At 38.5% G+C, this 13526-nt stretch overlaps 1 protein-coding gene and 1 long non-coding RNA gene across 5 annotated transcripts in view; one reads left to right on the top strand and one right to left on the bottom strand.

The window, feature by feature from the left end:
- Positions 1 to 13526, bottom strand: part of SAMMSON (survival associated mitochondrial melanoma specific oncogenic non-coding RNA) — a 435002-nt gene that overhangs the window by 193361 nt on the left and 228115 nt on the right. The gene's annotated exons all lie outside the window — the stretch shown is intronic.
- MDFIC2 (MyoD family inhibitor domain containing 2) overlaps positions 1 to 13526 on the top strand; it is a 118160-nt gene that overhangs the window by 71410 nt on the left and 33224 nt on the right. The window contains exon 3 of one of the 2 annotated variants that reach the window (NM_001364676.1): positions 3288 to 3326. The exons of the other annotated variant lie outside the window; for it this stretch is intronic. Within the exon in view, the coding sequence (NP_001351605.1) occupies positions 3288 to 3326 (39 nt within the window). The remainder of the gene's footprint in view (positions 1 to 3287; positions 3327 to 13526) is intronic. 2 annotated transcript variants of the gene reach the window in all.

Below are 13526 nucleotides of genomic sequence, written 5' to 3'. Positions count from 1 at the left end.
TTTAAAGTAGAAATATGACAATATTTATGAGGAACCGTTCTAGCAATTCTTCCAAAATATCTCAACTCCCAGGAACTGATAAATTTATCAGCCCGTATGTCATTTATGGTACTCCATCCATGAACAGAAGTCACAGAAGTCAGTGTCACCGCAGTCACATCACAGGCTAAAAACACTGTGACAGTAAATTGGTTACAAGGTGTAAAAATGGGTGGACACGAAAAAATGAATATCCTTGACTGTGAAAGGCCAAGATGAGCTAGTAAGCTATTAACTTGGCTCATTTATCAAATGATGAATCAACTTTTATAAGAAATATTCAGTGTTTTCATACTGCTTATCAAGTACCCTAATTCTGTCATCTTATGGGCCTATATTACTGAATTTTTCAGAACACCACTTAATATCTTAATTATTAAATTACAGTGATGTGCCCCGGTGTATGAAAATAACTCAGACTTGTGGCTTGCTTCTGTCTTCTCGTGCAGAATAAACTAGGGGTTTCTGAAATGCACCATGTTTAGCCAGGTGAAAAATAAACCAGATTGGTACTATAGTCAGCAATAGAAAGATAAACAAATTAAGTACTTATAATTGACGCTGAAGGAATGAAAGAATTCACACTTTCTTAGAGCTATTATTTCAGACAGTCTGGTGTCAGAATTAAAAGCCAACCAGTGCATCTGTTTATATTGCCAAGGATTTTCACAGTAAGAAGGGCTAGGAAACACATATTTTTTAGTTAGGGTCCAACTTCCAAAGAACACCAAAAAATAGTGTGTCAAAAATATATGTTCTTATGATTTTTATTGTCCAATGTCTAAACAAAGACAAAAAACCACATAGCTCACTTCTACTTCACAAACACAAGTGGAGAGATTAAAAAAAAAAAGTAATTGGTTATTCTGCTTGTTTCTGGCTTAGCTACTGTTTTTTTTCCCCAAGATGAGATAATATAGGAAAAGCTGATTAAGGAAACTTTTTTCACATAGAAAGTTCACCAGGATGGCTCTGTTACCAAGCCTTAAAATTTGAATTACAATGGTTATCTAAAATGGCCATTTTACACTTTAAAATACGTCTCTTATTTTAAAAATTTACATTAAGTCCTTGCTTATCTTGGGCTTCTAGTTAAAGAAATGTCCTGTGTAAAATCCATACTGATGTATTGAGCATTGAAGCACTCAAAACTATCATTAACCTATTTTTACTTCTCATCAGCAAAATTAGAATATTAGGTATTTTCTTCAATTTCAAAGCTTACTACTTTGGTCAGTGAAAGAAATACAACACACACACACACACAAAGTAATATTTTGTCCGCAAGAGTAAATAGACTTAATTGTCTCATTTATTTATTCAACAAATATTCACTGATGATCTATCTGCCAGACGCTGGACTCACTATTGGGAAACACTGAGTTGAACGAGACGTCACTGTATTTAGCATATAATCATAACATAGGGCGATATGATCTCCTACAGGAAAAATACAGGGCTCTGGGGAAGCACTTACCAGGAGAGAAATGATGAAATAGACTTGAGAGATGATCGGCCCTCATTCCCTTTGTTTGACCAAAGAGGAAACTGAGGTCTAGAAATGTTAAGCTTCAGAATCACAGAGCTCTTTAGTGAAAATGAAGCTGGAATTTATGTGTCTCTAAATTCAAATTTTATACTCTCTTTATAGTAATGTACTCCCTAGAAAGTGATTGGCTTTGTTTTCCTCCAAAACAATAATGATCAAACCATGAACTTCAAGACAGTTGACTAAAGTTGGAAATGTTCTCTTTGGGAACAGAGTCAATCTCCAACCTAATTGCATAACATCCTGAATGGTGGAGAAGCGTTGAGAACTCAGACAGCTGGGGTCTAATCTTCCATTTCTATACCTAATAGCTAGGGTAAGACTTGGACCTTGGGCAAGAAAGAAACTGTGAAAACCATTTGATTTTTTAAAACAATCTTTGAAATCAAGATAACAATATCTACAAGATACAGGTAAATTTCATGACATAGTTGAACTGAGTACGTACTCAACATAACATACGTAAATTCCTAGCCCCACTTTTCACTATTGCAAATTGAATAGAACTGATGAAAGACCAGTTCAGCAGAAACCACATCTCAGTTTCTTTATTCTTTTCCATTCATTTTAGCATAAGATTCAGCCTCCAATTTTAAGCCATTTTTGTAGATCATTTTTGGCATACCTTCACAAAATTAAACATTTCCACTCTGTGAATATTTTAGGAGTTAGAAAGCAGAGATTAAACAATTAGATTTAGAGAATTTAATCAGCATGCATCCTCTAAAAAGAGATGGGAAGAAAATAGAGTCAGAAGAAATATATAAAATTAATTAAACCTCCTATGCAATTCTGTGAGTCTCTTTCCATTACAGGTCATAGAAACCTAACCAGTTTAGATAAAGAGGGAATTTGTAGACTCACATATCTAGGATGTCCAGATGGAGACAAGCTTCAGGAGCAACTAAATATGGGGACCCAAACAATACATTTGGAATTTGTCCCTGTGGCTAAAGTGCCCTGCCTTTACTTTCTTTTCTTGGCCCCCTTTTGGGGGTTTATTCTCAGAGAGACTTTTTTTTTTCTTTTTTGAGACAAGTGCTCACTCTCATCCAGGCTGGAGTACAGTGGTGTGATCATGGCTCATTGCAGCCTTCACCACCCAGGCTTAATAGATCTCCTACATCTGCTTTCCAAGTAGCTGAGACCACAGGCATGCATCACCATACCTGGCTAATTATTTATTTATTTATTTTGTAGAGATGGGATTTCTACATGTTGCCAGGCTAGTCTTGAACTCCTGGGCTCAAATGATCCTCTTGCCTCAGCCTCCCCAAAATGTTGGAGTTACAGGTGTGAGCCACGATGCCCAGCCTCAGATAGACTTTTTACACATGGCAGAAAAATGGCTCTGTCTACCCAAAGCCCAAATAGTGTTTACACCTTACATAGAAGGAGAGAACTGTTACTCCCAGTATGCTAATTTCAAGTGTCAGGGAACGCCTGGATTGGTGCTATGCGAGTCTCACAAGCATCCTAGAACAAGCTGCTGTGGCTAGGAGATAGAGGACTCTGGCTATCATATGTCTGTGTGAGGAGCAGGACAGGGCAAGCCATTTCCACTCAAGGTATAAAGAATAGGTTCGTCACTATAAAGTACAGTTCTCTTTCCTGAAAAAGGGATCCTGGACAGGCAAAAAAAAAAAAAAAAAAAAAAAAAAGATACCACTCAATTAGTTTCTTTTCCCTTCTCTTTTAGGATTATCCACCTCAATTCTAAATCCTCTTGGAGATCCTGGTAAGTTCATCCTCCTTTCTTTGTGGTAGCTTCCTATAGTGATTAAGGGGCACTTTCAGTGCAATATTTAAGGAAAAATACTCTGCCTTTGTCCATGCCCACAATATGGCTGCCATGGCACCGGCATACAAATCATAACACATGCACATTATTCAAAGCCCATTGAGGTATGTTTCACCTTGGAGTTGCTTATAATCTGTGTGTGTATACATGTTAGATAACAAAAGGTTAACAATCTTTTCCCTATTTAGGCAATACATGGATTCCAAGTTTACTATATGTAGGACACTAGGTTTAGCTCTGTGGGAGTATAAAAACATTAGAGCCTGTCCTTGAATGATTGAAGAAGAAGAGTAAGAGGTGTAAGACATCAATTTTAGCATAGCATGATGGACAGAACATGGAGTTAACATTTGAGCTGAGTTTTGGAGGATAAGCAGACGTTTCACTGAAAGGAATCGGAAAAGAAAGGCATGCACAAAGAGGTCAAGATAGAAAAGTCTGAAATGGGCTTTTTTATTTGGTTAAAAGATCACACATATGAGAGGGATGGGAAATAAACATAGCAAGGTAGTGTTTAAGCATTCATTAATAGAGGTCTGTCTATATTGTGGTGTATCCGCACTGGAGAATATGATGCAGTAATTCTTTAGGATGAGGAAGATCTAAATGAGCACACCTCCAGGATATACTAACAAAGGGAAAAATATAGCTTCCCATTAATAAATACAGCTTGGCCCCCTTTACATTAAGTAAAAACCAGATATGCAAATGTTCGAGAATGAATGCAAAAGATCTGGAAAAGCTTTATCCCAAACTGATAATACGGAACCAAATAAATTTGTCAAAGAGCAGTGAGAATGGGGCAAGCTGCAGTAATGAAGTGGAGATGTTGCCTTGACATTGACACATCTGTGTTGCTTAAGCTATGATTTTTCACAATAGAAACTTACCTACATGTGACTTGCTTAATAAAGAAATATTTTTTACATAAATAAAGGTTTTCTGCTAGGCGCAGTGGCTGTTACCTGAAATCCTAACACCTTGGGAGGCTGAGGCAGGGAGAATCACTTGAGGCCAGGACTTTGAGACCAGCCTGGGCAACATACAAAGACCCCATTCCTACAAAAAAAGTTTTAATTAGCCAGCCATGGTGGCATGCACCAGTGGTCCCAGCTACTCACGAGGCTGAGGCAGGAGGATTGCTTGGACCTGGGAGGTTGAGACTGCAGCGAGCCATGATTGTGCCGCTGCACTCCAGCCTGGGTGACAGAGTGAGACCCTGTCTCAGAAAAAAAAAGTTTTCTAGTAAAATAAGGGTCAATTTACAGGCCCCAAAAGGAGTATGGACTTTAAAAAATTAATATTATCATTATTTTTGGTTGTCAATGTGGAGGTTGCTAATACATGAAGGCTTACACATTAGTAAGAAGAACATGTTGCAAGTGGGAATATCTTAAGGCTAATAAACAAATAGGCAGGTAGAACTCTTTAGAGGCCATTCCAAATATAAATGTATAATAAAATACATAAAATATACAAGAAGTGAATATATATGAGTGAACAATATGGATTAAGGGGAGATAATCATTCTTTTTTAAGTGCAGGGAGTTTAAAGTCTCAAAGTGATGTCTCTGGAAAAGTTATTTTGGGAAGTGTCTAAAAGACAACACATCTGGATCTGTAGATCACAAGGGGCCAAGTCGATTTTAGTTTGGATTTAGCAGTCATCTATGCGAAGGAGAGAGTTGAAGAATGAATAAGGTCAACAGGTCATTAGAGAATAAGTTAGGTTAGCAAGGGAAAGAGTGAAGAGAGCTAAAGCCAAGGTCGTGGGAAAGATTATTCATTAAGAGAAGTAGAATGATGCATTTGCTCATTCATTCGCTGCTAGTATTTTTTCAAGCACCTTGTGACAAATCCTGTGCAGGTTTTGAAGACAGAATCATGATGGTGGGAAAAATGGCGTGGTGACTGCCCATAGGAAGCTTACGTCCATTGAACCACTAATATGAACATTTAATGAACATGTATTGTCTTTGCTGTGGCATTTAAGTAGCACATCAACCTTTGAAACAATGCTATAATTATTTCTTTTCTATAGATAAAGAAATGAGGCTTAGTGACAAGGGATAATTTGTCCTAAGTCATACAGCAATAAATTATCAATGGCCTGATTTGAATGCCAACTTTGTCTGCCACCAGAACCCTTACACATTGTGCAGACTAACATATTCAAGAGTGGTCAGCAAAGGGGTCATAGAGAAACCTCTAAAAGAGGAGAAAAACCAGGATTCTACATTAAAGAAGACAAGGACAGAGCCGTGAGCCTGACTGACCATGTGTCAAGGATGGAAACTGATTACAGATCATTGATTTGGTGATTAGAGCCATGTATTCATGTGTTTAACATTCATTCAACAATTATTTATTAAGCACCTAGCATGTATTATCACATGAGCTTTGAAAGGTCAGTTTAATTTGCGAGGAGACGGAAGCCAATTGTGAGGGATTAAGGAGTGAGTGGGTGATGAAATAGTATGTATTAAGGACTACCCAGAGGAATTTGAAGATGGAAAAAATAGTGCACAAAGGATTTATAGTCTCTAGTACACCTAAGAATGCATCCAGAGGGAGGAAGCAGTCAGTAGAGTAAGACTGAAGATGCAAGGAAAGAGAACGACGGTTGATGAAGACACATCTTTTGTGGATGGTAAAAGAGATAGGGATGTAAACCCCTCATGCAAAGGTTCACCTTTAAAAGACAGAGGGCCCCTTCTTCTCCAATAGAGGTTGGAAAAAAACATAAAGGAACAAGGACATTCTGCAGCAAAGTGCAATCATAGGAAACCGTACTGATAAAATCTCTTTGGGGCAGAGGTTCTCAAGCCTGGCTACACATTAGAATCATCTTCACAGTTGCTAAAAATCGTGATGCCCAGACTGCACTCCAGACCAAATAAATCAGGAAACCGTGAGGTTTCTTCAGGCTGAAGATGTCCAAGGCAGCGTTTAAAAAGTGACAGGCAAGATTTGAATAAGTGAGAAGAAGAGGAGGCATTCCATGTGATGACATCTTAAGCAGCACCAATTAAAAAATTAATTTGCTTAAAACGAAGCAAGGAAGAAGTGAGGGACGAAATAGAAAAGTTGGTCTGTGAGTAGATCACAAAGATTTCAAATTGCTGCAAAGTAGATGTATGTGTGTCCATTACTTGTGACCATAGCTCTATTAAGCACCAGAAACTTTTTTTTTTTTTTTTGAGCCAGGGTCTCACTTGGTCACCCAGGCTGGAGTACAGTGGCATAGTCATGGCTCACTGCAGCCTCGACTTCCCAAGCTCAAGTGATCCTCCCACCTCAGCCTCTGGGACTACAGGTGCATGCCACCATGCCTGGCTGATTATTCTATTTTTTGTAGAGATGGGGTTTTGTTATGTTGCCCAGGCTGGTCTCAAACTCCTGGGCTCAAGAAATCCACCTACCTCAGCTTCCCAAAGTGCTAGGATTACAGGCATGAGCCACTGTGCCTAGCCTAGCACTGGAATTTTATCAGTACTGTTTGCTTTTTATCCCAAACCTCATCAGAGTGCCTAGCATATAGTAGATGTTCAATAAACATGAGTTGACTAAATAGCTTAAAAAATAAACAAATGTATTTTTTAGGTGTCAACCCAGCCCTCTAAGTGTCTAGAATACTTGAAAAGTGGAATTGTCTCATACCCAATCCTAAGTCATTCATTGTAAGTAGTTGTCCACATCCCACTCAGATATTTCTGGGTCTCATTAGATATGACTCCAGTCTTTTTATTCTTAATGTGTGTATCAGAATTTTATTAAAGTTTGTCAAAAATGAGAAAACAATGGGCAAGGCACACACCTATCACATGACTCAGCATTTTACTCCTAGAGTTTTAGCCAAGAGAAATATCCACACAAAAACTTGCACGGGAATTTTCATAGCAGCTTTATTTGCAACAGCCAACAACTGAAAACAATACAAATATCCTTCAATTGGGTGGATAGATAAACTGAATTAAGGTATATTCATGCAACTAAATATTACTCAGCTAAAAAAAATTGTTTAGATATGCAACAATCTGAATAACTTTCAAAATAATTATGCTGTGTGAAATCTTGACCAAAAAAAGGTACAAACTGAGTGATTCAGTTTACATGAAATTTTAGAAGTTGAGTCAATCTGTAGTAAGAAGAATGGGTCGCAGGTTGCCTACTGAAGGAAGTAGAGGGATGCATGGATTACAAAAGGACATAGGGAAACTCTGGCAGAGGGTATGATGGAAATGTTTGTTGTTTTGATTGTGGGGATGGCTTCTTGGTGCACACATATGTCAAAAGTCATCAAATGTTATGCTTTAAAGCCTTGTCAATTATTGTATGTAATATATCTTAAATCTATAAAAAGGTTTTAAACAGCAAACAACGAAAAGGGAAGCTTTATCATCAAAATGCCAGCTGGCAAGTGATTTAAAATGAGATATTAGATACCTGTATTGTGAACTGTGTCACTTGCTTACTGTCACAGGTCATTATTCCACGCTGAAATCTTGCTCCTGTCATCTTGCTGCACTCCTATCTCCCTCAAACATCACCAGGGCCACCCACTCCACAGATTTCAGCTTTTATCTTTTGCAGAGCAGTTTAATTATGACTCTTTCCTACACTAGGGTTTTGGGAGAGCTCGCTTTTAGTACCCAAACTCTGAGACTCTGTTGCCCAGGCTGGAATGCAGTGGCGCGATCTTGGCTCACTGCAAACTCTGCCTCCCAGGTTTAAGCGATTCTTGTGCCTCAGCCTCCCAATTAGCTGAGACCACAGGCGCATGCCACCATGTCCGGCTAATTTTTGTATTTTCAGTAGAGACTGTATTTCACCATGATAACCAGGCTGGTCTTGAACTTCTGGCCTCAAGCGATCTGCCTCCCTTGGCCTTCCAAAGTGCTGGGATTACCGGTGTGAACCCCCACGCCTAGCATAGGGCTTCAAACTTTCATAGGCACTTATGATTTTAGAAATGGCAAGATTTTTTTCCTTCTTTCTGTACAAAGGAGAGAATCACCCTGGGAAGACAAACAGAAAATCTCCAACCCAGTAAGAAGTCAGTCCCTGTGATGGAATAAATATTTATTATTGGTAAAAACAATACGTATTTACATTATTATTGTGACTAATTACCTCTCTTGTTGAGGGGTTTCAGGAATGATGTCTTCATCCTAAGCACTTTGGGAGGCTGAGGCGGGCGGATCACGAGCTCAGGAGATTGAGACCATCCTGGCCCACACAGTGAAACCCCGTCTCTATCAAAAATACAAAAAATAGCCAGGCGTGGTGGCGGGCACCTGTAATCCCAGCTGCTCAGGAGACTGAGGCAGGAGAATCACTTGAACCCGGGAGTCGGAGGTTGCAGTGAGCCAAGATTGCCACTGCACTCCAGCCTGGCGACAGAGCGAGACTCCATCGCAAGAAAAAAAAAAAAATAGGAACATCATCATTGTGTCCAGCCACATGAGTGGAGGTGTGAATATTGTGGGCATTCGACACATGTGCACTGATCATGAGGATAAAGGTTGAAGATGAGACACTTGCTGGGATTCTCTACCTTATAATAACAGTAGTAATAATAGCTACTTGGTGTGTCCAAAGCTGTTGAAAAGCATTAACATTTCACATGGTGCACACCCTCACAGAGCAGATCAATATTTATTCTTCCAAGTGTGTCGAGTGTACGGTTGGGGCACCTCGAGGTGAAAACATCTCGCTGCCAGTGTCACCGTGTCAGCCTCAGCACTTGGAAAGCACATCTCCCAGTTCATTATGTCAGAATAACAAAGTGACCCTCAGCAGTTGAATATGCTTATTAATGGCTAAGGGGAAGAAGGGTGGAAGGAGCAGACAATAACGCTTTGGGGGCTCCCAACACTGAACAACTGTCAAGAATACACGACTGTTATTTGGTGTAGCATCAGCTCTGGAAGGGAAAAACAGACACACATGCACACACACACATGCACACATCACAGCAGGCCTGTTTAGTAGCTTCCAGATGAGAATTTATTTTTGTGACTCCTGGTCCAAGTAATTTCATTGCCACCTAATTAGTAGGGGCAAGGGGGCAGTCGTGGGACTGGCTTTTGTCCCATTTCTTCTCTCCTTGTCCCATTTCTTCTCTCCGTGTATCTCTGTCTCTCTGCGTGTGTGGCTTTCTTCCCTTCTCTCTCTCTCCTTAGCGTGTTTCCCTGATTAAGCAAATCAGCCTTAATTGGTAACTAACCAGGGAAGGACACCCCAGCCTGTTCTCCAAGCCCATTAAGGGGTAATCATCCAGCACAACTAACAAGTCATTCAGACCAGAATTTTGGAATTTGGCTCTTTTGTTCTGTCAGTTTGAAGAGTACGCGGCACGTGTGATGCAATTTAGAAGGGAGCTCTTTTAGAGCTTTCACTCAGGAAGGCGTCGGGAGCTCTGGGGGTAGAGCTTAGCTCAGAAAAAGAGAAAAAACGCAAGTTTGCGTTGACAGCTTGATCCCAGAGAGAGATGGCGGGCTGCTTGTCTAGCAGGTCCTCTGGGTGTGGAAAAGGCAGGGGCAGGAGCGTCGTCTTAAGCGAACGTGTGCCGCCAGTGTTAAAGGAACTATTCCCTTCCTTGAGCATGGCTAGCTGTTTGCCACTGCTGTTTCCTTCAATAAAACCTCTTTGCACTTGCTGACTGGAGCCTGTCAGGCAATAATATTTTTCACGTACATGTACGAAAATGCCCTTGTGTGTTTTTAATACATTTACAATTGATAACAATAGAGCTGTTATGTCAGGAATGGTAGAAAAGCATTTGTTGCAAATGCAGAGCGATGGTAAGACACGATGTTCCAGGGCTGCTAGGCCCTGGAGGGTCAGTGCAGCATCCTGGAGCAGGGAATCACTGCGAAATGGGATCAGGTTGTGGTCTTTTCATCCAAATTGAAAAGTGGAAGTTTGCCTTTTCAACAGAGCTGGGTTTGTTAAGATTCTCTTTTCTGACTTGGGAGGAAGATAGTAACACAGCAGGTGTGGCATGGGCATGAACATCCTGAGATTTGAAGACGTATTTGGACCTTGGTCTCACCATGAAGCATTGCCTTTAAAACTCAAGGAGGGTGAAGGCATGGGATGAATTCTTCCACAGACAAACCACCACTTACAGAGGAATCCACCAAAGAAACCTAGAATTGATTATCAAATTACCGTTTGCTGTCATTGCAGCTCAACTTTTTTTGTTGTTGTTAAATTAAACCAGTTTTTAAATAATAAACAATAAGTAGACAACTTCTGCCAGTAATTTCAAGAGAGAGTTCCATTATTCAAACATCTATTAGGCTAGGATTGCAAAACTGTATATATATATATATGATTCATCTCGAATTTGTCTAATGTAACAATAATTTCATAGAGGTTTTGAGATCCAAGTAAAAGTTCTAGTGGTCAAAAAATAAGCGTTTGACACCAGCCCTCAAATATACACAGATTTTTATGAAAGGATATCCTGGTGAAAAAAATTTCTATTGCTATGCAGTGAAATTTCGTTGCAGTGAAATGAATCTCCTATGTTTGTCTACAGAATGAAGGGAACTGCATTGGGTGGTGTTAAACTATGTTTACTTTCTTAAAAGGGCATTCACTGTCCAATGTAAATTATGGTATCTACCAGTAAGAGACAATGTGCTGTTAAATGGATGGCTCTTGTGTCTGATAGCATGGATTTCAATTTCGGCCTGACCATTTTTAATTCTATAAACTTAAGTAAATATTTCCAACTCCCTGAGCTCAATTTCTTAACCATTTTAATGGGGATGGCAGCAACAGCATCTAAGACATAGCACTTTTAATATGATAAAATTAGATAATAATATATTATACTTTGTACAAATCTTAGAATTCAATAAATATTAAATATTTGTATCATTATAATTCCATAATATATACCCCAAAATATTCTTGATTAATTCACATATAAGTTGTATCCCAAATTAACATGTTATTAGCTAGGCTGATTGACAGTAGCTGTTTCAAATATTGACCTCCAAATTTTAGTATCCAAATTTAATAAAAGTGAATTCTTGGCCACCAAAATCTCAATGCAGATAGATATCCCTAGGTTGCTTTCCACCATGTGGTGACTCAGGGATCCAGGCTTTTTCTATTTTGTGGCTCTGTCATTTTTAGGGGCTCATCAGAGTTGTCTACCATATTTTCTGTTTTCAGCTGGCCAATAAGTAGAGAATAAAACGTGAAGAATCATGTGATATATTTTAGAGGCCTAACATGCAAGGGAGCTACATCATTTCTGCCCATGTCCCTTCAGCCAGAACTATTTTTATGTCCTGCTGAGATGCAAGAAAACCAGAAAAATATAGTTTAACCGTGTGCCCAGAAAAAGGAAGCAAGTTCTGCTATGTAGCATCTAGCTAGTCTCTGTCACCAACATAAATCTTTATGAGCTAAAGAGAGGGTAATTAAAATGATCTTCTTTAGCCATATTTGAAGGATCGGATATACCAGCATATGCAAATAAGGATCATTCTGAATACAGAATATTCCTAATATAGGCACTGACATGGTTGCCCACTAAATTCTTTCACACACTCACCCTCCTTGGCTATCTCTGGAATTTTCTCTTGCTTCCTGACCATTCCTCCTCTGACACCTTTTCTTTTCTTGTATGTGTAAGATGCTGATAACTAAAAATTGTGGTAAAGTTTACAAAAAGTGTTATGCTTTTGATAAAAGAGAGGGTACATCCTTTCTATTCTTCCTCAAAATTCAGTTATTGGTTCATCTTCTCTGGGAAGACCTCTTTAGCTGTGGAGGCTAAGTGGGGTGCCCTGCATTGGTATCCCATTAGCCTCTGTTGTAGCATTTATTACATGGTATTCTCCGTGTTTCTTCACTGGACTCTGCTCTTGGACTAGAAGCTATTTGAAAGCTAACTCACACCTTTTAGCTGAGTTTCTCCTCACGTACTACATAGTCTGCCACATAATAGACACTTGGTAGCATTAGCTAAAGGAATTAAGGAATTTTGAGGTATAACCCAGCTATCCATCTTAATAGGTAGAGAAAAGGAGAATGCAAATGAAACTTGACTGTTGTTAGTAAAAAAAAAAAAAGATTCATGAAAAAATTAATGAGAAGAATATACATTTCCTTCATCAAATGTAAAACTGTTATTTTGTTTTCAATTTTTAACATTTAGCCCCACACTAAAAAAAAAAAAAAAGTAAGAAAACTTAAATGTTTCATCAGGTTCCAGTAAGTCGACTCTGAAATATTTTCCTTTCATTTACTTAATCTAGACATTAGAAAACAAACAAACAAACAAAGAACTTAGAAAAACTATAACAGGGGTCCTTCTCCCAAAACTGTACTATATTAAAATACAGAGTCTATTTCTGAATCTCTATCAGTGAAGCATTATTTTTTTTTTGGCAGCCTAACGTCAGTCATAAGACAACAATTCCTTCTGAGAGGAAAGAAAAGCTATCCTGAAGATGAATTACTTGTCAAATGAAACTTTGATTAAAGAAAAGATTTTTTGGTTAATATTTTCCATTCTAGTGAAACATAAAATATATAATATAGTGTTATGTTTTCTTCAGCATCTTGGCATGCTTGCAATGTTTTAGTAGATAGCATAGTGGATATTAGCTGTAAAATGCCTTTCTTGATACTAAAACCTCTAAAAATTAAGGACAGTAAAGACAACTCTTACCACCTTCTTCACTTTTAAATGTTGAACTATTTAGTACATGTTATTTTAACAGTAGTAGTGACCTATTCAATCTGATATCATTAAGATTCTCTGTTGGATATTATTTATATTGCTTATTATATTACTATTATACTACTATATTATCAATATTATTTATTATATTATACTTACTATGAATGTTATACTATTCACCTATTAAGTTTGCTTTAGCAGAAGCAGTGCACCATGGTAGTTAAAAGCTCATGCTCTTTTCTGGAACCAGACTTCCTGTATTCAAATCCCAGCTCTGCCGCTTACTACTATCTGCATTTATAATTCACAGTTTGTATTACCTTTCTGTGCCTCAGCCTCCTCATTTGTAAAACATGGAGGGTAGTAGTGCTTATCCCACGGAGTTATTGGGAGAATTATCAGAGCTTATTCATTGAAAGCCTCAG

The sequence above is a fragment of the Homo sapiens genome, chromosome 3 (genome assembly GCF_000001405.40).
Source record: "Homo sapiens chromosome 3, GRCh38.p14 Primary Assembly".
NCBI lineage: Eukaryota > Metazoa > Chordata > Mammalia > Primates > Hominidae > Homo > Homo sapiens.
Note: the sequence above shows the minus strand (reverse complement) of the source record. Positions and strands in the feature narration are given on the sequence as shown.